Source organism: Homo sapiens, chromosome 3 (genome assembly GCF_000001405.40).
Source record: "Homo sapiens chromosome 3, GRCh38.p14 Primary Assembly".
Lineage (NCBI taxonomy): Eukaryota > Metazoa > Chordata > Mammalia > Primates > Hominidae > Homo > Homo sapiens.
In genome coordinates, this window is record NC_000003.12 from 111,756,062 (window position 1) to 111,782,802 (window position 26,741).

The window sequence follows — 26,741 nt, forward strand, 5'->3', positions numbered from 1 at the left end:
TTTTACTTCCAACTATGTGGTCAATTTTGGAATAGGTGTGGTGTGGTGCTGAAAAAAATGTATATTCTGTTGATTTGGGGTGGAGAGTTCAGTAGATGTCTATTAGGTCCGCTTGGTGCAGAGCTGAGTTCAATTCCTGGGTATCCTTGTTAACTTTCTGTCTCGTTGATCTGTCTAATGTTGACAGTGGGGTGTTAAAGTCTCCCATTATTATTGTGTGGGAGTCTAAGTCTCTTTGTAGGTCACTCAGGACTTGCTTTATGAATCTGGGTGCTCCTGTATTGGGTGCATATATATTTAGGATAGTTAGCTCTTCTCGTTGAATTGATCCCTTTACCATTATGTAATGGCCTTGTCTCTTTTGATCTTTGTTGGTTTAAAGTCTTTTATCAGAGACTAGGATTGCAACCCCTGCCTTTTTTTGTTTTCCATTTGCTTGGTAGATCTTCCTCCATCCTTTTATTTTGAGCCTATGTGTGTCTCTGCACGTGAGATGGATTTACTGCATACAGCACACTGATGGGTCTTGACTCTTTATCCAATTTGCCAGTCTGTGTCTTTTAATTGGAGCATTTAGTCCATTTACATTTAAAGTTAATATTGTTATGTGTGAATTTGATCCTGTCATTATGATGTTAGCTGGTTATTTTGCTCGTTAGTGGATGCAGTTTCTTCCTAGCCTCGATGGTCTTTACAATTTGGCATGATTTTGCAGTGGCTGGTACCTGTTGTTCCTTTCCATGTTTAGTGCTTCCTTCAGGAGCTCTTTTAGGGCAGGCCTGGTGGTGACAAAATCTCTCAGCATTTGCTTGTCTGTAAAGTATTTTATTTCTCCTTCACTTATGAAGCTTAGTTTGGCTGGATATGAAATTCTGGGTTGAAAATTCTTTTCTTTAAGAATGTTGAATATTGGCCCCCACTCTCTTCTGGCTTGTAGAGTTTCTGGCTAGAGATCCACTGTTAGTCTGATGGGCTTCCCTTTGTGGGTAACCTGACCTTTCTCTCTGGCTGCCCTTAACATTTTTTCCTTCATTTCAACTTTGGTGAATCTGACAATTAAGTGTCTTGGAGTTGCTCTTCTCGAGGAGTATCTTTGTGGAGTTCTCTGTATTTCCTTAATCTGAATGTTGGCCTGCCTTGCTAGACTGGGGAAGTTCTCCTGTATAATATCCTGCAGAGTGTTTTCCAACTTGGTTCCATTCTCCCTGTCACTTTCAGGTACACCAATCAGATGTAGATTTGGTCTTTTCACATAGTCTCATATTTCTGGGAGGCTTTGTTCGTTTCTTTTTATTCTTTTTTCTCTAAACTTCCCTTCTCGCTTCATTTCATTCATTTCATGAATGGAGCTTTCAGCTCCATCAGCTCCTTTAAGCACTTCTCTGTATTGGTTATTCTAGTTACACATTTGTCTAAATTTTTTTCAAAGTTTTCAACTTCTTCGCCTTTGGTTTGAATTTCCTCCTGTAGCTCGGAGTAGTTTGATCGTCTGAAGCCTTCTTCTCTCAACTGGTCAAAGTCATTCTCCATCCAGCTTTGTTCCGTTGCTGGTGAGGAGCTGCGTTCCTCTGGAGGAGGAGAGGCACTCTGCTTTTTAGAGTTTCCAGTTTTTCTGCTCTGTTTTTTCCCCATCTTTGTGGTTTTATCTACTTTTTGTCTTCGATGTTGGTGATGTACAGATGGGTTTTTGGTGTGGATGTCCTTTCTGTTTGTTAGTTTTCCTTCTAACAGACAGGTTAACAGCTGACAACAGGTCTAACAACAGACCTCAGCTGCAGGTCTGTTGGAGTTTGCTAGAAGTCCACTCCAGACACTGTTTGCCTCGGTATCTGCAGCGGTGGCTGCAGAAGAGTGAATTTTCGTGAACCGCGAATGCTGCTGTCTGATCGTTCCTCTGGAAGTTTTGTCTCAGAGGAGTACCCGGCCGTGTGAGGTGTCAGTCTGCCCCTACTGGGGGGTGCCTCCCAGTTAGGCTGCTCAGGGGTCAGGGGCCAGGGACCCACTTGAGGAGGCAGTCTGCCCGTTCTCAGATCTCCAGCTGCGTGCTGGGAGAACCACTGCTCTCTTCAAAGCTGTCAGACAGGGACATTTAACTCTGCAGAGGTTACTGCTGTCTTTTTGTTTGTCTGTGCCCTGCCCCTAGAGGTGGAGCCTATAGAGGCAGGCAGGCCTCCTTGAGCTGTGGTGGGCTCCACCCAGTTCGAGCTTCCCGCCTGCTTTGTTTACCTAAGCAACCCTGGGCAATGGTGGGTGCCCCTCCCCCAGCCTCGCTGCCACCTTGCAGTTTGATCTCAGACTGCTGTGCTAGCAATCAGCAAGACTCTGTGGGCATAGGACCCTCCGAGCCATGTGCGGGATATAATCTCCTGGTGCGCTGTTTTTTAAGCTCGTCGGAAAAGCGCAGTATTAGGGTGGGAGTGACCCGATTTTCCAGGTGCCATCTGTCACCCCTTTCTTTGACTAGGAAAGGGAACTGCCTGGTCCCTTGCACTTCCCGAGTGAGGCAATGCCTCGCCCTGCTTCAGCTGGTGCAGTGTGCGCGCACCCACTGACCTGCGCCCACTGTCTGGCACTCCCTAGTGAGATGAACCCGGTACCTCAGATGGAAATGCAGAAATCACCCATCTTCTGTGTGGCTCACGCTGGGAGCTGCAGACTGGAGCTGTTCCTATTCGGCCATCTTGGCTCGACCACAAAAAAATTTCAAGTGCATCTATTTTGCTGTTAATATAGCTTGAAGAACCCATGGCTTGACATGTTTCATAGGATTGCAGCCATGGGAGGGGTGAGTCATCAACCACGATAAACTCATGAAGATGGTTTTATAAGCTACTAGATGCGGCACAGACAGAGACAACAAGCTATGTTTTGCTAATGGGTCCTATCAATATGGGGCCCAGGCCATCTTTAGCCTATAAGCTTCATCCCAGAAACTAGGAGTCAGTCAGTAGAGTTTACTGTGATATTTTAAGGAAGAAAGGAGAAAAATGACTGCTCTTCAGAGCTGATTAGAGTAAAAATGTAATTATATATGTGCATAAATATCCTAGTGATATATCTTTTTTTTTTTTCAATGATTGTCTTAGTCCACTCAGGCTGTTGTAACAAAATACCATAAACTAGGTAGCTTATGAACAACAGAAACTTATTTCTCACCATTCTGGAGGCTGGAAAGGCCACAATTAAGACACCAGCAGATTTGGTATCAAGTGGGGATCCACTTTCTGGTTCGTAGATGGTGCCTTCTCACTGTGTCCTCACATGGTGGAAGGACAAACTAGCTCTCTGGGGTTTCTTTTGTAAGGGTACCAATCCTATTCATGAGAGTTTCAGCCTTACCCAAAGGCTCCTTCTCCTAATGCTGTCACATTGGTGATTAGGTTTCAATTTATGAATTTTGAGGAGACACCAACATTTAGACCACAACATTGAGATTTTATATATATTTACATGTATATATACACACACACATATGTATGTATGTATATCCCGTGTGTGTGTATGCATGCACAGTGAGGAATATATGTTTAGCATGTAAAGTTACTCTTTGCACCAAATGGTTTCAAGACAGCAAAATAATATAACACCTACTAAAGGCCAGGTAATTGGACATTATCCAAATCAGTCATCATGCAACCCTATAAGGTGGAAATTTTTATCCCCAATTTATAAGTGAGCAAACAAATCTCAGATTAAGTAATTTGTCTAAGGGCACACAGCTTACAAGAGATGACGTCAGATTTTGGATTTGAGTTTCTCTCTTTCCAAATTTTTTATTCTTAATCAATAGGCTATAATTGGGTGACAATCAAGAGTTCGTTGGGAATATTGTTGGTTCATAATAGCAACAATATGCAGTTTGTAGGACAAGAGGCTTTAAGGGCAGAGATCTAAATGTATCTGTCAAACAGAGAAAGCCATGTGAAGTTTCTGTGTCTTCATGCCTCTGTATTGGATTCAGGCTGTAGCCACAATACTTATGCAAAAGCATTTCAGGGGAGACATTGCTAGGCAATCTTCACTTCCACTAGGTCAGAGTTTAATGCACATAATACTTCTTGCCTTCATGTGCATGTTGCTAACCCATATTCCTGACTGATATTCTTTCAGTATGTCCACAATGAATTAAAGTTAAGACCAGAGAGCAATATAAAGTGCTGAGCAAAACTCTTTTGAAATTCACAAACATTGTCCATCAGCAGAAACCATGTTTACATTTTTAAAATTCCTATTTTACCTTACGTGGACTGTAAGATGGAATCCAAAGATCCCTCAAACCAAAACTTAGTTTCAATGCATCTTTGTTGAGATAAAAAAAATTGTCCTACTCCAAAGATACTAAATACAGGTCTCATCAATAACCATAGCTTCCATTTTCTGTCAAAGTCAAATAAAATTTTCTACTATTTTTCAATTAGGAAAAGCAGCATTTCAGATAAAAAACTAGGCTTTTGTAACAAACTAGCAAAGTTGGAGTTCTTTTTATTGAAATTTATGTTTACATGGTTATTAAAAGGTTTGTGTTGGACTGCGGGACTCATCTTACTCTGGCTTCTGGGGAGTGAACTAGAAGGCAGAAAACGTGTTCTGTTTTCTTGCTTCTGCGATGTGTATACAGTTTTTTGTTTGTTTTTTTTTTCCTGAGAGCCACGTGGGACTGGTGAGGCTGAGAAGCAAAATTTGAATCAGAGCTTAGATTAAAAAACTGAAGCAATAATTTTCTCCATTTTCAGTTTTAGTTGTTTTATCTTTTGTGATAAATTGTAGGTGAGAAGTTTGGGAGAGGGGCCAGGATGCTACTTAGTTCATTCATAGCACTGCTTGGAACCTTTAGAACTAAGTCGGCCAGGTGTGGTGGCTCACGCCTGTAATCCCAGCACTATGGGAGGCCGAGGCGGGTGGATCACGAGGTCAGGTGATTGAGACCATCCTGGCCAACATGGTGAAACCCCGTCTCTACTAAAAATACAAAAATTATCTGCGCGTGGTGGTGCGTGCTTGTAGTCCCAGCTACTAGGGAGGCTGAGGAAGGAGAATCACCTGAACCCCGGAGGTGGAGGTTGCAGTGAGCTAAGGTGGCACCACTGCACCCCAGCCTAGCGACAGAGTGAGACTCCATCTCAAAAAAAAAAAAAAAGAAAAAAAAAACTAAACACATTTGAATACTAATCCCAGCTTTGTGATCCTCCTATTCCACCTAGAACTACAGTGTTATTCAATTTTTTTGCTTCTGTCATGAAGATAATTTGAAGCTAATCATCCACAATGGGAAATGAGCAAGTGGTTCCAAAAGCAGAAGTGGGTATGGGTACACATGGGAGTGTATAAAGCTCAAAGTCTCCTTATACACGGCATTGATTCAGAAAGGAACTGACACTGTTGATGAAATTTATCACACAAGATGGGACGTGAACAAATCCTTCATCCTAAAAAGGCAGAAACTCAGAAGAGAATGACTAGGGAGAATGAGTCACTAGCAGCTGTTAAGAATCATAGTTAGATCTCTATTCCTGATTTAACTCTCTGCTTTATCTACCCCAGAGGCCAGTCGTTCTCAAACTTCAGCTGCATTCAGATCACTTCAAGGGCTTGTTAAAACAGGATTGCTGATCTACACACCCAGAATTTCTGATTCAGTACATGTGGGTGGGGCAAGAGAATTTTTAGCTCTAACAAGTTCCCAGGTGATGCTGGTCGGGGATACCACACCATAAGACCCACTGCTTTAGGCAATACCGGTTTCAGAATTGAGCCACAGAGGCCATGACTGGTTTATTTACCTGGAAAACCAGCCCAACATTTTTTTTTAATAGCAGAAAAAGCATACAAATTTATTTAATGTGTATACATAAGAAGAATTACAGAGTAATTACCCCCAGCCTGACATTTCCTTAAAATAGGTGCTTGTATGTTCACCTAAAAGGGGCACTGCTAAAAGAGAGGATGAGGGGTCAGAGGAACACATTTTATCCAAAAAGGGATGCCCCCCCAATCCCATCCGCCACATTCAGCTGAGAACCAGACCAGCGTCTTAGCTATTAGTTCATTGCATGGGTTTTGGTGCCAGACTAGACTTAGATTTGAGATCCAAGTCTACTACCTAAGGTGATAAACTTAAGTCAGTCACTTACTTTTCTAAACTGCAGTACTGGAAGGATAACACAATTGATCTCAGAGGACTGTTGTGAAGTTTAAAGAAGATAATGTTTAGGAAGCTTTAACACAATAGCTCATGTATAGTAAGGCCTCAATAAATGCTAACTATATGTATTATTTAATTATATAACTAGCATTACCATATTATTATTATATAGCCAATATGTGTAATGTTTTGACACTGTCAATAAATTTTGAGGTGTTTATCCCATTTTCAGATATTGGAAACTAAGGCACAGAAGGGTTAAGTACCTTGCCCAAGGGCATCCTAGGGAGCGCTCTGAAGTTATGCCTTGTGATGCCACAATTATCATCATTCTAATCACAGGCCTCTAAGTGTGATCTGATCCAGACCTTCCACCCAGCCCTCCCAAGAACCTGGCCACACTCGTCAGGATTAAAGGAGGAGGTATTATTTCTTCAAGCCCTCCTGGAGTCTCTCTTGGCCTTTTTTGGCTCACATACTGCTGTACGTAGTTTGTGTCTGAAATGGAAAATTTCTGTAACACAATACCCAGCTCTGATCCCCACAGACTCTCAAATAATCTTTCTCTTTTTTTTCTTTTGGTTTGGGTTAAAATATGACTTCATGTGCAAAAAAGAAGCCTCATTTCCCAGCACTCTCAGCAGATTCATAAACATTGCAGACTCAAAGCCCTCTGGTTCCTAAGAGTTCCAAAGAATTAATTCTCCTTTTTTGAAAAAGGAGAGCAATGACTAAGAAGTGAGAAGAGAAATGGAAAGATTAAAACTAGCTGCCTGTTTGGTGCAGGGTATATAGCTCTGAGAGCCCACCCTCTTCTGCACCTGCAAGAATCCTTGCATGTCTCCCAGCACTTCTACAGGCAGCCCCAAGGAAAGGCAGGGAGCCATAGCTGCACTGAGCTTTATGATCCTGCCTGAAAGTGAGTATGTTAGGAAACTGGACAATGCAAATCAAGGATTTTAGGTATTTGATTCATTGACTCCCTAGCATTCTTCTCCCCTGGAGAGTCAACTCTTCACACACTGTTTATGCTGTGTGAACAATACAGTGAATTTCCCTTGAGTGAGTTATTTCTATGACAAGTTACTCTAACATAATAGCGAACTGCAAACTGCACAGGGCTTTGGAGCCCAACTGTTTGACTTTCATTTCCACCTCTACCACTTTCTAGCTGGGTGACCTAGGGCAATTTACTCACACTCTTCATGTTTTAGTTCGCTCATCTGTAAGTGGGACTTGTCATCAACTGTACATTGTGAGATTTTCCTAGGAATAAATTACTTAATAAATTATCAAGTGCTTAGGGCAGTTCCTGATACATAGTAAGCCCCATATGTCTTGCTATTACTATTTATTTTTATTATTATTGTTACTACAACTACTACTCTACTGCAAGGAAAAGAGCAGTGCTATAATCTGAATGTTTGTATCCCCAGAAATTCATGTTTTGAGATCCTAGGTGATGGTATTAGGTTGTAGTATTAGGAGGTGATTCGATCACGAGGACAAAGCCCTTGTGATTAGGATTAGTGCCCTCATAAAAGAGACCCCAGAGCAGGCCAGCCCCTTCTACCACATGATGACACAGTGAGAAGGCACCATTCGTGAACCAGGAAACAGTCCCTCACCAGACACTGAATCTGTTGGTGCCTTGATCTTAGACTTCCCAGTTCCTAGAACTGTGAGGAATGAATTCTGTTTTTTCTAAGCTACCCAGTCTATGATAAATTGTTAAAGCAGCCCGAACAGACGAAGACAAGCAGTTATGGCTATGTTTGCTCAAGAAAATATAATGCCAAAATAGAAAGGAAGCAGTTTGGCCTTCTGGTAATGGTATAACTCTGGATTCAGACAGACCTGCACATGACCTTTGACACCGCTACTCAAGTTGTGTGACCTTTGACAAGCTATGGAACCTCTTTAAATCCACTTTCCCGTTTATAAAATGGAGATAGTAACATTTACCTCATAGGGCTACAGGGAAGATCTGATGAAGTAATGTTTGGGAAGTTCTCAACTGTTGGTCAGCAGCCCAGGAATGGTAGTTATTGTGTGGCAAACTGGTCACATGAACAAAGAAATCCATTAAGTAAGTTTCTCCTAAAAGCACTTACAACCACCCTACTTGATACAACTGACTAAAACAATCCCAACATCTGAGATTCTTACCAAATATACACAGACAGAGTACATGGTAAACTAGCACGGTCCTTTGTATATTTTTCTGTCTCCTGTGTTAAACATGGATTGTTGTTAGGTTGATAAATTGCCTATCACCCCTATTCCCAACCTCCCCTTCTTTATCAGTCACACTTTTGTCCCAGCATATACATGTTGATGTGGTGAGGTTTTGCCAGATTTCATAAAGGGAACTATGATAAAAAAAAATACCCCACTGATCTTCAAGTTTCAATTTTCAGATTATATGAAATTTGTGTGATGAAATAAAGGTTCTTGAGGAATCACAGGTAGGGCACCAGCATCATTCAATTCCAGGGGGCACTGTTTCCATCATACTGTATTAAAGCTAGGCTCCAAGGGCGCCTTTAATGGAGAACACAATAGGATGGTTGCCTCCTGGAGTTGTGCAACAGAATAGCTCTGATCTCAAAGTGCAGGAAACAAGGTCCACTGACACAGACTTGGACTCTAACCTCTCTTCTTTTTGATGAGTCAGACTCTGTCTTCCAAAAGTTAATTTATACTTGCTGAGTGAGAACTTGCTAATACCCAAGCGACATCACCATGAAGAGGAATTGTAGAATCACAGATCTGAGAGTTGAAAGACCAGCACTGGTCATCGGGTCCACCCTCTCCAGTGCCCTAGGGGAACATGCCAGTGCAGTTCCAGTTTGCCTTTGTTAATAGGGCCAAAAAAAGTCTGAGGCTTGGCTTCCAAGGAGTATTAGAGTTCAACAAATTCTCATTCTCAATAGGCAGGCGTGAAACACTCTTAACCCTTGGCTCACTCCACCAGCACATGTGTTTGAAGCCCCTTAGTCTTCACTAACGCACTTTCTAAAGAAGTAGAAGGAAGTTGTGATATCAGCACTGAAGGGTGGTGAGAAAAAAATGGATGGACCCAAACACCAATGGAAGAAGATCATGGAAAGTATTGACTCCAGAACACTAACAAGTGACTGTGCTTTTTCCTTTTATACTTTCCCCTTCTGCCACCCCCACAGGCTTCTTACACAATGTATCATACAGCACTTTAAAGCTGAAAGCCATCCACAAAATTATCTTGTCCTAAGGCACCCAGTTTTCAGATGAGAAAATGAGTCTCAGATGTCAGGCAGTGCAAAGCATCCAGGAAAGATAATCGATCCAAAAATCACTTACATTTTTAGCTGACTTAAAACGGAGAGAGAAATGTATTCAGGTCAGAGCAAGTGGCATTTTTAACTCCATTACATAAATATAGAAGCTAATGCTCAAAATAAAATGGTGATGTAAACTTGGTTCATAAACTTCTCTGCTGGGTTAGACAGTCTATGGTGACATCAGGGCTTGAAGTGAAGATTGGAACTAGGTTATATCCAGAAGTTCCCTGAGAAGGGAGGCTGAGAGGTGAGTGAAAAAATATGTTCCCATTATTTGAAACTTAAGGTGGAAAAGAAGCCAACCTCTAATCAATAATGTAGATTTACTTTAACATTTCATTGTTGCCATTTCTTCTTTTATATGCACACACACACACATACACATACACACATACTGCAAATCAGAAGAATAGAAATCTGAAGTCAAAACACCAGGATTTTTAATTTACTACCTGTGTCATCTTTCTCAGTTTCACATTGTCTTTTCCATAAATTAAAATTTATTATAGTGTCTTTCTTACAGCTTTGTTGTATAGATCAAATAAGATAATGAAGTGTACCTGCTTTGTAAATCATGAAGCAGTAATTTTTAAATACCTTTTTTCAAGAACCTTCTTAAGAATCTGATTAAAGGCCAGGCATGATGTCTTATGCCTGTGATCCCAGCACTTTGGGAGGCCAAGGCAGGTGGATCACTTGAGGCCAGGAGTTCAAGACTAGCCTGGGCAACATGGTAAAACTCCGTCTCTACAACAACAACAAAAAAATTAGCCGGGCATGGTGGTATGCACCTGTAATCCCAGCTACTCAGGAGGCTGAGGCAGAAAAATCGTTTGAACCCAGAAGGCAGAGGTTGCAGTGGAACCCAGGTTATGCCACTGCACTCCATCGTGGGCGACAGAGTGAGACTCTGTCTCAAAAAAAAAAAAAAAAGAATCTGATGAAATCTAAGAAACCTTACCAAAATTTTTACACGTGCATAAAAAGAGTTTTGCATGTAATTTCATAGGGTTTTCAGACATTCTGAAGACACCAATTTAACACCTGCTTGGATAGTGCTTACCAAATGTAGAATATTCCAGCCTGGACAACACAGTATTTTTACAACATGGGATAAATTAAGATGAGTCATTTATTTATTTGATAAACGTTTACTGGACCCTTACTAGGTAGTGCGGGCTGCAGAGGCACTGATATCCTTGTCTTTCAAGAGTTAGCAATCCAGGTTGTGCGCAGTGGCTCATGCCTGTAATCCCAACACTCTGGGAGGCCAAGGCAGGTGAAACACCTGAGATCAGGAGTTCAAGACCAGCCTGGCCAACATAGTGAAACCCCATCTTTACTAAAAATACAAAATTACCAGGTGTGGTGGCACGTGCCTGTAATCCCAGCTACTTGGGAGGCTGAGGCAGGAGAATCGCTGGAACGTGAGACGCAGAGGTTGCAGTGAGCCGAGATTGTGCCATTGCATTCCAGCCTGGGCAACAGAGCCTGACTTCATCTCAAAAAAAAAAAAAAAAAAAAAAAGCAGTCCAAAAACAGTATTAAAGCAAAGGAGTCTCTTTACATGCATTATATCAACTGAGAAAGTCACCTTGCTATGGCATCTGTCCCCAGAGCTCCAGTGTCTGGTTACTCTGTTCAGATGGAGGGTAGTCTGGGTGTCTCTGATTTGAGACAGAGAACCTGCATACAGAAAAGTCAAGGGACTTTTCCAGTGGACTTGGTACACAGAAGGATTTGGGTACAGATGAGCAGAGAGAAGCTGTATTCAACTTTGGCTCCTCATAATCTCCTGTCTTGAACCCTTCATGTCAGTGAAAAGACATCTGTAAACATCTGTCGTTCTTCCACATTTCATTAAGTATGCTTCTTGTAGATTGTTGACACCAAACTAGTGAATCAAATATCTGATGACATAACTTAGAATTGGAAACAGGCATTTTCACTATAAGCAGAAGTTTCTAAAAAATTCCTGCCATGTAGGGTTCAAATCATTTCACCACTTTCTAGCTTTGGGAAGCACACACAAAAAATGTATTTTTATTATCTGAAAATCAGGATGATAATCATGACTTCCACATTTAGCTATGAAATTAAATAATTCCTCTGAAGTACTTAAAACTGTACCTGGCATATAGTGAAAGCTCAATAAATGATGATTATTATAACTGTCATTGTTCTCATTCTCAACAGCTATCTCTTACCCTTGTAGGTATTCTTACCCTTGTAGGAAGCCCATTGGTTTTACTGGCAATGGAAAATATGTTTTGTTGTAGATGCTATTTCCTAAAATATTATGATTTTTTAAATGTGGCTACTAAATTTGTCTATAGAGATGTTAATTTTTGTCTTGACTTAGGTTTGATTTTCCAAGTTCCTGCTTGGGTTGTATATGAATAGGGTTATCTAGAGGAAGCAGGTAGAAATTGTTAAGAGCTGGTAGGATGTGATAAAGGTTGAGATTTGGAAGTTAAATTTGAAAAAACAGAATCAGAGAGAGGGATGATTGATCCTGATTAGGATTGTCTAGAAGAAAATGAAGAAAAGGTGAGAGTTGATAGCCACAAATAGGGGAGTTTCCCCTATTAGAAAGTACCCAGGAAAGCTATTGTTTGCCCTGGCCATTGATATTCAGGCAAACTACCCAATTTCGTTTTAGGTGACTTTGATAGAAACTGGATTGCAAGAAGAAGATAAAATTTCTTCATGAACCAGAATGAGGAAGTGGTGGTATACTCAGAAGAGAACTAAGGGATTCAAACAAAAAATCCTGTTGAGTCCACCTGGATTTGATGGTGGGGTTGCCTACCTATAGTTTGTAACAAATGTTTTTCACGTTTAAGTGAGAATATTATTCTCTGTAAACAGCAGACTACTATTATGATGGGTGTGTAGAGGAGAAAAATGTAAGAGGACAACTGGTGAGAGGTGTAGTGCTAAAACTATGGCCTGCAGAGGAGCTCTTTTCTATTTGCAGACCTAGCCCCAACCCATGAATGAAAACAATAGAAATGATCTGCTATAAGATTTCAGGGAGTTTAGGGGAGCTCCGGAGAGCTGTATGTCCACACATCAGCCAGCCAGTCCGTCCCTCACCCACACCCTCGGATCCTGCCACAAATATTTGAATCACTGCCATAGCAATGTTCATGGACCCATGCCAAACAAAGGTCCATACGACTGCCTGGGATTTAAATGTCTTCCTGTGTAATCTCATCACCCAAGTCCACCCACGTACTTGGAGTTTGCTCTGCCCTGCCAGCTTCTTTTGCATTGTCTAGCTGGACCTACATTCAGAGGTCCTTGGAGACAATGCTTGGATTCATGTCTGGAATGCTTCAGCATACCATTGAACCCACTCCCACTTCATCATTGCCTGGGGAAGAGATTCACAAGTGCCCAAGGAGCCCACTGGTTGCCAATGAGCAATTTCTCGAGCCTTTAATTATGGGCCAATGAAAACAATGCCTTTAGTGAACTGCTGCCTCCCTTTCACCTCTGACCCATGGTCAGACACGTGACTGTGAGTGTTGCCAGATGGAAATTGTTAGTGAAGAACCACATTTAACAGAACTTTTATTTATCAACTGAGAGCAGCACTCATCAGTTATCCTGTGGGCTTGAGCTGTGTTTAATATATAAGTAACCTCAATATTGTATGGGCAACACTATGGGTTTGGATGAGGATTGGCCTATGAAAGAAGAATTTGTCCCCTCCAAGTTCCCTTATCAAGCACTAGGAGCATGAAGAGTATGGAAAAACCAGTCCAAATTATTAGGTAATAATGTTCTGGGAGGCAGCCCAAAGTCCAAGTAAATATTCTCACTTGTGTCCAAACCCTTGCTTGGCAGCTCTGTCAGACACTGTCTTTTCCCCATATTCTACCATCCTAGAGAGTAAAAGACAAACTCTTACCTCAAAAACCCCTGCCAACCAAGTATTCATTATCTGTCTTTCCCTCATCTGAACAGTTTGTAGCTCAGATCAGGTGTTTGTTGGAGTCTGATTACTCTATTTTCAAATAATACAGCATACGACTACAGTGCTGATAGCAAGTTTAAGAAGGTTCAACCTAAGGGAAGAGTGATGTTAGGGAACTGGAGTTCCTCAATTCCAACATTTTCCAGGTCTAAAAGTGCACTTTGTAGAAAAAACAAGTGCTTACATTCTTAGCTGTCTGGATGTGCAATATTATCTACAACCTACAGCCTTAGAAACTTTTCCTTTGAACTCGTGTTTCGTTCCATCTCTAAACTGTATGATCTTTAGCTGCTCTATTCAGTAAGTATTTGGGCAGATGGATGCAAATTGATGAAACACATATGTTTAAGACAGAGATTAAGAATGCTGCTGGGTTAAATATATCTGTGTAGTGATTTCCATAAGTATCTTAGCTGTTCAGACAACATAGATAAATTAACCCATAGAATCCATTGTTGAATTTTAGTTACTTTACTTTTTAGCGTCTCAGATAATTTTACCAAATTTATGTCACTTTCCAGTATTTCTGTAAAATATTTTAGAGAAAAAGCAGGATCTTCAATTCATTAATGGAAAACTGATGTAATGAGAAAAACAGGCCAGAGCCACACAGCTGAGAGTCATTGGTTGCATCTAGAAGCCCATGTTTCCCTTGTAGAAGGTGCTTCCTCTGGGAAGGGTGCTTATTACGTCATCAATGTATTTTTTCCAGATACCAGGCTCTTTTTTGGGATATGGGAACTCAGCCTGGGGAAACATTTACTATCCCTAAGCAAGTACTTAGATCTTTGTAAGAAAGCTCATTATTTTTTTTCTCCTACTTTTCTGATGTGTGTATTTCCCTTTCCTTAGAGACTACCAATTAGTAAGATTGCAAATTTAGTTTGGCATCTAATTTATTTGTTACTATTTTTAATGCAAATGTTAAGTGGGCTAGCCTCTGAGAATCTGTGATTTTTATGCTGTTGTTCCCCAGACACAACAATTCTCTTGTCTAAGTTAGTGCAACACCTACACAAACACAAAATATGCCAGGTTATAAGACTACAGACACGCACTTGGGAAAATGCTGTGTAGTGTATAAATTACCATAACTTGTGTTATTATAGGAATCTGTGAGAGAATTCATATCACTTTACCCATTTCATAAATGGAAAAACTTACTCAGAGATATGAAATGACTTCTCCAATATTACACAGTTCCCACCTCACAGAGGTAGAACTGGTCACCAAAAGTAAAAATCTTACTTCTCAGTTGAAGATTTTGCCAGGATATGCCGTAAGACTCTTCTTAGAAGATGAGCAAAGGGAGACAAGAATAAAAATCCTAGTCCCAGAGGGCTGGTCAAGGATCTGACCACCTGCAGAGAAGAATGACCCCAGAACTAAACAGTGATTGGTACGAAGCCAGTCAGCTGTAGCAAAGCAGCCAGGATGAGGCAGCTTGAGGAGAGATGTGGAGCCCAGCCGCCTCATGGCATGCAGGGGTTTCTCCCAAGGCTCTGCACACACCATTGTGCAGCTGCCCCTTTCTTTAATGTTAGTTCTCATGAAAGTTCCAGTGCAGATGAAACTGTCAGCATCTCAGCAATCATGGGTTTTGAGAAAGAAGAAGCGGTGCCTAGCTAAATGTATTTGTTTTCTAGGGCTGCCATTACAAAGTACCACAAATGGGTGGCTTACACAACATAATTTCGATTTCAAAATGTCAGCAGCGTTGGCTCCTTCTGAGGGCTGTTTGGGAGAATCTCTTCTATGCCTGTCTTAGCTTCTGGTGGTTTTCTGTTACACTTTGGCTTTCCTTGTCTTGTAAATGCATCACCCCATCACTGCCTTCATCTTTTTTTTTTTTCTTTGAGACAGAGTCTTGCTCACTTGCCCAGGCTGGAGTGCAGTGGTGCCATCTCGGTTCACTGCAACCTCCCCTTCCTGGGTTCAAGTGATTCTCGTGCCTCAGCCTCCTGACTACAGGTGTGTGCCACCACGCCCAGCTAATTTTTTGTATTTTTAGTAGAGATGGGGTTTCACCACGTGGGCCAGACTGGTCTCGAACTCCTGGCCTCAAGTAGTCCGCCTGCCTCAGCCTCCCAAAGTTCTGGGATACAGGCATGAGCCACTGCACCTGGCCACTGCCTTCATCTTTATATGGCATTCTTCTGACATACACATATGTGCCTGTGTCCAAATTTCTCCTTTGTGTAAGGATGCCAGTTATACTGGATTAGAGTCTACCCTCATGACTTTAACTTGATCACCTGCAAAGACCCTGTTCCCAAAAAAGATCACATTCACAGGTACTGGAGGTTAGGACTTCAACATCTTTTGGGGGGACACAATTCACCCAACACAAAAGAGTAAATGTTTCTTCTTAAATGGAATCTCCTAATTCAAAAATAGTCATTCTTCACATGCTTATTTTAGTGTTACTTACCTCAAAACATAAGGATTAACTGTCTTTTTTATAAAGTTCAATTTTTTCTTGTTAGGTTTTTAAATTTTTTTATATTTTGACAAATAACCCTTTGAATTTGGTATAAAATACCTTCTGCTCCTCAAAAAAAAGACTAATGCTGCATTGAAATGGAAGGCTGCAATCATTATGAGAATTTATTACTCCTTCTTACTTGAACTGTGAACTTTCATTCACATCACTGAGAACAAATTATATACTTAAAATGGCTCAAAACCTATTGTCTTTTTCTTACTGTTACTATTTTTCCAGAGGAGACCCTGTTCAGAGGAAGTTATTTTCCAATGTGCCCTTGGAAAAGTTCTACAAGTAGTATTTTCAAAAGGACTTAATTTAATAATTCTATTTTTTAAATAAATTATATTTAGACTATATTAACAGAAAGATTTTTAAAGTGGGGTTGGGGAGAAGGGAAGGAGTAAAAAGAAGGAAAAGAAGAGGAAGAAGGCTAAACCTATGAAGGGGAGTAACCATATAAATGACTAAGGCTACAGGTTTTTGTTTGGTTTAACCCCAAAGCTGGAGGGCTTTTTAAAGCTCTCTCCACTCTCTGGTCCCTGAACTCAGAAATGCCTAGATCAGCCCTGCCTGGCTAGATTCTGGGAATAACATTTTTCTTGTAGAGGAAATTGTACCAGGGACCTAGCCAAGTCTAAATTATCTTTTTGGGTTTGCATTGGCATTTTTCTTGGTTCAAATTCACAAGTAAAGGTTGCCGCAAGAGAATATCCAGGGTCGTTTTCTTTACCGAAGGGCTTAGCTATACCTATAGAGCTTATCTGTTTGCCTTGACTGTCCATGGACCTCAGGGAAAGACATGATTTCATAAACACCTCATAGAGCCCATCCCTGCACACTTTTTTTAACAGGCCCCACAGGCCTGCACCCCTGAAGGAGGGTTGGTGTGTATGAGGAATGCAATTTGGATTTTCTTCACAGAGACGTGAGAATTCCTAAGTTGAGGCCAACAACTCCTCACCTATCCATTTCCACTCATGTGCAAATCATATATTTCTGATTCTCAGCACTCCTTTCTTGAGTTTAAGTATAGAAGCAAACAACTTCAGTAAACAGATAGGTAAGAAGTTTTATGCTCTAAGGATTGAAATTGTAAAGGTCTAAGAACCAGTCCTTATTGAAACAGACAAACAGGAATCTCAGTGCTCTGATAGCATCGCTCGAAGTGCAGTCTGAGAACCACTTTTAGCAGAATTATCAGAAAAGCGTATTCATTAAAGTTAACAAGGTTTCCCAGGCTCTGCTCCAAACCTGGAGCAGAAGTTCTTGGAGTGAGAACTCATGAATCTCATTTTTAACCATTTCCCAGGTGCCTTCAATTCACATTAAAGTATGAGAGCTATTGCATGACCCAAATGTATGAGAAGACAGCCAAGGGTTGTGAATATGGATCCCAACATAGGCTTGAGGGGGTCCCTTAAAGACTAATAAAATCGGTGATTTGTCACACAAGCTTTAGAGAAAGGTGAATTTTAGATAGGGTTTTTCCTGACTTCTGATAGCTGTAGCAAAATATGTTTCCACGATCTTATGCTCTCTCAAGCACTTTGCATTCATCCCTGACTTTGAGTTACCCAGATCTATTTACCTGAATTTCTCCTGAGACAGAGACAACGACTTCGTATCTTTCTGCCTTGATATATCCCTTGACTGGCAGAGTGCCTGTATGAGTAGGCACTTAATAAACTTTTGTTGATTAAATAAATAAACATAGCTGCTTTACTCATCAGGAACTTAGCAAGAAAAGAGTTTATGCTTATTCTCAGTAAACTATTATGATGTACTATAACATAGGTTTAATATGAGGCCAGGTCTTATTGGATCTTTATTTCTAATATCTCAAAACATTAGTTTCTTCTCAAATACTACCATGTCACTTCTTGTGTTGAAAACTTATTTATGCACTCTCTTCCCACCACTTACTGGGAAAGCTGCCGTAACAGCAGGTACCAGGAAAAAGCCAAACTGGCCTAAATAAAGAGAAATTTTCAAATGACATTTAGTTCATCTGTATTCAGTATTAAGGTTTCTTCTTCACTTAGCTGAGCTCTATAAACACCTGTCAGTGGCACTATGAGATACAGCCTTTAGAATATTGCTGCTTCATTCACACAGTGGACTGTAGGGAGGAGAAAGCCAGTGCCAGGGAGGGCTCCTTAGTTATTGAGACCTCACCTTCCCACCTCTGTTGTGTGCTCTTGGGAGCTCTAGGTAGGGGTCTCACTCAAGTAAGGCTGTGAGAGGTATCTGGGTGATGGATGTGCTTCAGGAATGCATTTCACAGCAGATGTTTTTCCAGACTTGCTGTTAGGGTGCAGTTTCCTCCTTCAGGGAGGGTTTAGTGGCTCAGGAAATTAATAAAGTCAGACAGAAAAAAAATTGATCAAAGTCCTGGTGCTAATGTATGCTCTATCTCCTGGAAGTTAATGGAGATCAGACAGCAAAATGCTAGGGATGCGAGCCCCGAGTGGCTTGGCGCATCTGCATTTAGAAGCACTGGCTGAAGAAGCATCACTGCTAGAAATGTAAGACATGCAGAGTCCTGGGAAAGGGCACCACTGGGGCTTGGAGTGGTTTTCATGGTTTTTTTCTGTTTTCATCTTTCAAAGGGAAAAATTGCTGAAATAAAGCTGACTTGAAATCATTTCAGGCATGTGTGTATCCTGACTAGCACATTCTTTGTCATGTTAACTTCTTTTGATTTCAAAGAACACTGTCAATTTACTAGGCCCCAAATTCGTGGTGTTTTTAATTTAAACAGAGGGTTGCCAAACCTATCCCTAAGAGAAATATTTTCATGATCCAGCTCTTTTGTCAACTCCACAGCTCGGGTGTGGTTTCATTCCCCAGTTCAGCATCCCTCTGTGCTGTTGAGAAACCCAAGACAATGTCGGGGAAACATGAAAATACTCTCGATGGATTGGATTCTGCCTGAATCTCATCAGAAGGATGTGCCATAAGGAGTGAGTTGGAGAAACAAGGGAACCGAATTAAGATTTATATTTAATAGCACAATGTGTGGTATAAAGAAAATATGAGAGTCTTATAAGAATTCCTAATAATGAGATAATAATCATAGCTATCAATCAGTGAACAGGGGAGTCAATTGCAGAGCACTTCTCTTGTGGCTCTACAGATATCTCATGTCATCCTCCAAACAACCTTATGAGTAGATACTATCATCATCACCATCATTTATACATGGAACCAAAGAGCAGAGAGATCAAAAAGAGATGACTCGGACTATCATTTTGCTAGATGCAGGGTTGGTCCACACCCTTAGAAAACAAACATCGAGAACCCAGGTCTAATCTATTCAGTTGAGATTACTTCCCCCACCGATTAAACAGATGAGTAGTCATGGAAGAAAATCACATAGAAGAGCATGTAGATGATACTTTAGAAAAACTGGTTAGTCAAGAAGTAAGAGTGGGAGGATGCAGAGCACGTATGCTGCAGGTGTGATGCTAAATTTGATATAGCCCAAAGCATTCTTCTAGCAGAAAGGGTGTTCAGGAAGGGGTTTGGAAGTAATTACACAATAATCAATTCAGATTTTTGGTCATCCTTCCTAGACCTTTTCCTAATTGTTCCATTTTGTAATGTCATTCGAGTCATGTGCATAGAATCTGGTTTGTTCTGAAGGTTAAATATAAAAGAAACTAGAATACTCAGGAAATGTAATTATAAAACTAGAGATAAAATTTTGGCTTAAAGTTTGACCCAGAGAATAATTATTTTAGATATGCGTTCCCCTAGTGAATAAAGTAGGAGAATGTTTACATTTTTCTACAATTGAACACCTGGGAACCCATTGATATCTTACTGCTAAATTAGTGAGAGCTCAGAATTTGCACTGAGTTTATGGAAATGGGCATTTCTTTCTAAAATAAGTTTTAAAAGTATGCTTCATTGCTTTGCTATAAAACTGGCCCTGAAGTGTTCTGACAGCTGCTGGTGAAAGCTTTGGAACGTATTTAGCTCTTTTTCAGAGATATTGACCTCCTCACAGCAATTCCAAAGGCAAGAGATTCTTAAGCATAGTGGGACAATACAGAGCAAGCTTCTGGGCTGATGCTTATGAATAACTAGACTGAGAGCCCCTCATAACTGCTATTTAGGAAGGCAGTCATGTAAGAATCAGTCTTATTCAAATGTGGACCTTTAGAGGAATTACCTATAGGATTAGAGTATAAGTGGATCTGAGAAATAATCCCCTTTATCGTATAAACTCTCCTTGAGTCCCATTCCACATCTCTTTGTCAATCAAGTGGCACTAGGGGAAGGAAAGGGGATAGAAAGAGAAGATAGAAAAGCAAAATCTCTTTCTTTAGGACTGTGTATAGGGTGACATTTTAATATAAGAAATTCCCTTTCTATTAATGTAACCTATTTTCAAAGTATTTATAATTTATGGGATTTGATATCTATTTTAAATCAAATATTAATTTACTAACTGAGTGCACGTTCCTACATTGCACCTCTCACTCCAGACTAATACAGTTGGAATCTCCCTGCAGCATCCTGGAAAGTTTAGCTTCCTGAGGGCAAATCTTTTCCTGCCTAGATACTAAATCAACTACATCATATTCTAGAAAACTGGAAAATGTGAAGGAAGGGATTTGTAATAACTCATACACCTAGATGTAGAACTCCAAGAATCTAGGCCTGCATAAGAGTGCCAAGGAGTTACAGTTCCCCCTTGATGTTTCATATAAACTTCACCTTCCCTTTGTCATCAGGTAATTCAATAACGTGTACTTCCTTTAGATTTGGCAATCAGTCCTAAAACCAGTGGTATTTATTATGCTTTCTCCCTTCCAATCTTTCTCAGGTAGAGAAGATAGAAATACATTCTGTCCAAAGATGCTTAAGCTGAAGACACTTAAGTATATTTCCAAGGAAATAGAAAATAGATTCTTATCTCTAAGGAGCTTACAGTCAAGCCAAGAAAATTTGGAAAGTGTGTACGGTGAAGGGGCCAAAGAAATAAAGGCCACCAATCAGCATAAAAAAGAGAAGCCAGAAAGCTGAGAGCCAGTTACAGGCAATGACACAGGAGGCCCAGACAGAAGGGCTTTGATGAGGAGGCAGCATCATTTGCTGCAGGAAGTTCTAAGAAAATGAGTCTTCTACAAAGAAAGTGATTCTTACTAGAAAAAAAAATAACTAGGAATCAAGGCATCTTCTCAAGGACCAAGCAAAATATATTTTTTTCTCTCAAAATGTCAAAACAGATTACTAGTTTTTACTAATGAAACAGGTATCTATCTCCATTACACAACAGTAATAGGAGTTAATTATTAACATTGACCCAGTATGATCTTCTAAATAAGGATTATGCTTCTTTCTCCTATTTTCTTTCTTTTTTTCTCATAAGATAATCCAAAATACCACATAATATAATTTGAAGTTAATATTCAGCTCTAAAATTTAGGCTCAGAATTTATGGTATTTCTTTTTATCTTATTTTCTAACAAAGGGATATTTAGTACAGCATCTTAAATCAGACCAGTCCACTCTCAAATGTGAATATTTTTAGAAGAGCAAAAAGACTAAAGGCACTTTGGTTCCACATAACAAAACAGCTCTTTCATTCTGTGTTCATCTTTATGTGATTTCTTTCTGTTATGTGCCACATTTTTTTTCTTCCAAAAGATACTCACTTGTGGTAACCCCATATGCATCATATTTGCAACTTGTTGTTTGATGCCATCTGTTTAATACAATAAAAAAGAATTAGCAGTCCTATCACATGAGCTGAATTTCATCTGATTCCTCTTCAAAGAAATAGGAGGCACTATTCTAATGGGCAAAAATAATGAGTGCTAAATCCTTCAACTAGTTTTAGATGTAAAACACCTGTTTTACCCCAGTATAGATGTTACATATTCTTCTACATCATTACCCTCCCTTTTTTTTAAGCTAAACGGACTGGCTTCTGGCAAATCCAGACCATTTAACAAACTCCAGCAGATATGTTTTATAAGCGTAGGAGCTGACTATATTGTGGAGAGCTCCGGATTTACATTTCATCGCACAATCAACCTACTGCCCCTTGGGCACTCATACAACCTCTCTGTAGGTCTTCATTTTGAAAATAGGGATACTGTTATGGGTTATGTTTCCCCAAATTCATGTGTAGAGTCATAACCACCAAGACGTCAGAATGTGACCTTATTTGGAGGTAGGTCTTTACAAAGGTAATCAAGTTAACATGAGGTCATTGGGTAGGTCTCCTCTACTATGATTTATGTCCTTATCATAGGGAAATGTGGACACAAGCACATGAAGAGAACACCATGTGAACATAAAGATGGCCATCTACGAGCCAAGGAGAGAAGCATGGAATGGATGCTTCCCTCATAGCCTTCAGAAGAAACCAACTTTGCCAACACCTTGATTTCAGACTTCTAGCCTCCAAAACTGTGAGACAATAAATTTCTGTTGTTTAAGCCACCCAGTGTGTAGTATTTTGTTATGGGAGCCCTAGCAAACTAACAAGATGCATTATGAATCCCCCGCATTAGGCTGCATTAAGGATTGCAAAAATATGTAAAATGTTCAACCCACCCTCAGAGCCGTAACTGCCCTTTCTAGAAAAATGTACTTGACCATAGTTTTAGTGAACTTGGAAGGCAACTCGTGCTCTCATGTAAAATGTGCTTCAACTCTCATTACAGAGTCCATAGCCTTAGAGTATCTTGCTCAGAACATCTCTACTTTCTACCCAGGGCTCAAGTCAGGACAATTTGGTCCCAAGAAACCACAGTGAAATGTGAATCCCTAAAAAAAACATGGCAAGTGTTGTGTGGATATACATCAACAGAAACTGAAACTGAGGGATCACACTTTCTCCCCAGTTCTCTTCTGTCATCTAATCCACTCTCTTCCACCTAAAATTTTCCTTTGCTCACACAGAGTTCCTTACTGATTCCCTTTAGCATCTATGTGGTTCATTAGGCCACTCAGGCAGCCTTTCTTTGGCTACTTTCTCAATAGTGGCTCTCAAAATTTTAGCAGCATCAGAATCACCTGGAGGGTATGTAAAACTCAGGTTTCTGGGCCCTACCTTCGGAGTTTCTGACTCGGTAGGTCTGGAGAAAAAACTAACAAGTTCCCATGTGATGTTGATGCTGCTGGTCCAGGGACCACCTTTAAGAAGCACTGTTCTATAGTATGACATTTCTGCTTCAGTTTTCATGGATTACTTATTATAACCTTTCAGGTTCCCAAAATCTATATATTTTTTTCTTTTTCAACTTTTATTATAGAATCTGGGGTACATGTGCAGGTTTGTTGCAAGGATATATTGTGTGATACTGAGATTTGGGGTATGATTGAACCTGTCACCCAGGTACTAAGCGTAGTACCCAATAGATAGTTTTTCAGCCCTTGCCCCCCTCCTCCCTCTAGTAGTCCCCAGTATCTATTGCTCCCATCTTTATGTCCATGTGTACCCAATGTTGAGCTCTCACTTGTGGGAACATAACTGTATTTAGTTTTCTGTTTCTGCATTCTGTTTCTCCTGTTCTCTTAGGATAATGGCCTCCAGCTGTATCCATGTTGCTGCAAAAGGCATAATTTCATTCTTTTTTATGGCTGCATAGTATATTCCATGGTGTATATGTACTACATTTTCTTTTTAGCCTGGGCACCCACAGTGGATTGGGCACTGGGCCCTTGATGGGCACCTGGGTTCATTCCACATTTTTGCTCTTGTGAATGGCGTTAAGATGAACATACAGGTGCATATGTTCTTGTGGCAGAATGCAAAAATCTATACTCTTAAGAGGACTCTGACCTCCATCCTCTTTTTGCCTTTGCTACACAGGTCTCTGGCCATCCTCTATATGGAAATACTTAGGGTAAGTAGTCAATCAGCCATGGCCAATGAAGGGTTGGGTCATACACCCAACACTTGGCTATTTATCACCCCACACATTCAGATTTTTAGGAAGAGGAGAGTCGAGGACTCTGACATGTGTCTATTCACAAAATGTGAGCCAAACATTCATTTACAAGTCAATTATTTGTCACAGTAAGTTCTCAGATGTTCACTTCATTCTGTACATTATTAGAAAGGCTAAAGTATAGCTCTTCTGTGGTTTGGAATGCCCCCACCAAAACTCATGCTGGAATTTAATTGCCATTGCAACCACATTGAGAGGTGACCTTAAAGAGAAGGTTCGGCAATAAAAGTGAAGCTGTTATTGCAGGAGGGGATTTGCTAACGCAGGAGTGGGCTCCTGATTTAAAAGAAGAAGAAGAAAAGAAGAAGAAGAAGAAGAAGAAGAGGAAGAGGAAGAGGAAGAGGAAGAGGAAGAAGAAGAAGAAGAAGAAGAAGAAGAAGAAGAAGAAGAAGAAGAAGAAGAAGAAGAAGAAGAAGAAGAAGAAGAAGAAGAAGAAGAAAAAGATTAGTTCGGCCCAACTTTCTGTTTCACATGCCTTGCTTTCTTTTCCATTATGAAATAACACAGCAATAAGACCCTCACTGGTGCCAGTGCCATGCTCTTAGACTTCTCAGCCTCCAGAACCATGAGCCAAAATAAATCTGTTTTCTTTATAAATGTTGGAGCCTGTGGTATTCCATTATAGCGACAGAAACCTGCTAAGACTAAGACAGCATCTCAGAACCATATGAGTTTTATGCTAATAGAAAAGCACATTTAGAATTCTAATTCATGTCATCTGGAACTCTCATATCAGAGATTATTCAGGTAAAATTATGATGGGTTATGGCAGACTTGCAGCTTTGATGTCCCCGTGGATAGACCCAAATGCATCAATAGCAGCAGAAGGAAAGACAGGATCTTATAACAGATGTTGATAGGTGTTTTCATATGTGAGTGCATTAACTGAATGTTTACAAAGGACTATCTGTGTGTCTTCACAAGTAGATTGCCTGTTCCTCTATAGCACACTGAATCTTGATTTTCCCCCAAATCAAGCATAGAGCTATACATATAGTAGATGATTAATAAATATTTAATCAACAAGTGAATGATCGTCATCCATTATGTTTGTGTAGTTACTTAGAATGTTTTCTTTTGCATTATCTTCCTCAACATTAAAATGTATGGAGTTTTCTCTAAAGTCATTTTTTAGCTTTTATATTTCAAGTTGACCTCATTATGGGCCAGTCATGGAGTGATGTCATAATCAAGAAAAACTAAATGCCTTAAAATTTTAAAAACATAACTTCTTTACTTATGTCTGATGAACTCTATTGACCATAGTGACTATTTCTTTAAAATCTCCTTATCTCTCTCCACCTGCTTTCCTTATGCTCTGGAGCTGCTCCCAAGCCTATTTTTAAACTCTTGAGAAAAGTTTTCCCTCAGCTCTAATCCACATGTCTCCCATCCTTCTTTATCCCTCTCCCTTTTCCCCAAATCCTGTATTACATTCTGTATCCACAGCCCTCCTGAGTCAGGATTGCCAGGAAAGCTTGAACTACTCATGTAATGCTCCAATACCAATACCAAACTTAATTTGGGGGCTTTTTATCAGCATCTCCCCAATAACAATGACTTCATCACAATAGCCTTATTCCTCCAGGATTCTTTGTTCTACCTTCTAAATAATTGTGTCAAGTTACAATTAATTTCTCCTTTGTGGATATCCACAACAAGAACAGGCTCACATAGATAACAGAAATGATCATTAGTTTTTCAAATATGATTTCATTTAAAAGCAAGAATTTTCTTCCGCCTTCTGCTATGCAGATGCATTCCTTTCTCCCCACACTCTCAACTCTCAAATTCTTAAGCATAGTAAGTACAGTTTGGGGGAAAGGTGTTTTTTAATCTAGAAAAGAATCCGGAGAACTTTGCAAGATTTTCTCAAGTGGTTCCTATACTCCCTTTAGTGCAGATTAAATACAGTCCTCTAAATGATGAGATGGCAGCTGTAAACAGAAGCAGTATTGCCGTGGCACAAAACTACCTCAGTCATAGGGCCAGAATGCAACCTGCCTATTTTGAATTTGGTCAAGCAAGGAAAGAATGCCTTATCTCTATTTCCCTCAGGCCAAGCTCTGTTTACTTATGTACTGTCTCAGGAATATGACAGGATCCAAGGCCAGGGTCAAGATATGGAGATAGGATGTAATAGAGAAAGACTAAGTGTGAAGCTAAACTTCATTATTTGCATCCAAATGATAAAAATAATAGTAGAATCTAGAGATGGGTAATGACTGCCCTTAAAATTGGTAGCAAATGTTCAGGTTTTTACTGGGAACAACCTTAGTTATACATGGAACTTCCTATTCTCAGTCCAATGGCCACTCTTGAAAAGGACATTACGTTCCTGGCAATTAAGTCAAACCTTAAGCTAGTCTCATAGTTCAGTGCTCTCAGTTCCAAAATATAAAGCGAGGATAGTAAAAAAGGAGAGATGCTCTGGCCTACCATGAGCCCCTCAAAATTACCACTCTTTGAGCTCAAAAGCTCAAGCTTGAGCTTTTACACTCAATCAATTTGTTAAGTTTTTGTTCTTACTATTCCCTCGGTCCAGAATGCTCTCTACTCTCCCCATAAGCTTGGCAAATTCTTTCTTCTCTGTTTTGGTTTCAGTTTAAACATCACTTATGCCAGAGATCCTTCCCTGGCCCTTCCTATTCCCCTTTAAACTGGGTGAGACTCCTGCTAGAGCTTCTTTCTGTAGTACCAAGTACTGACCCCACTGGGTACTTATCAGGCACAGCTTAGGAATTGTCTGTCTTTCTTCTTAACAATAAATTCCATGAAGGCAACAACCCTCTCTACTTTTCTCATCATTTTGAACAAGTGCTTAGCACAT

General features: G+C 40.2%; 1 protein-coding gene across 1 annotated transcript in view; it reads left to right on the forward strand.

Annotated features, from left to right (window-relative positions):
- The window catches only part of PHLDB2 (pleckstrin homology like domain family B member 2), a 244,022-nt gene that overhangs the window by 23,566 nt on the left and 193,715 nt on the right, over positions 1-26,741 (forward strand). The window lies entirely within an intron of this gene.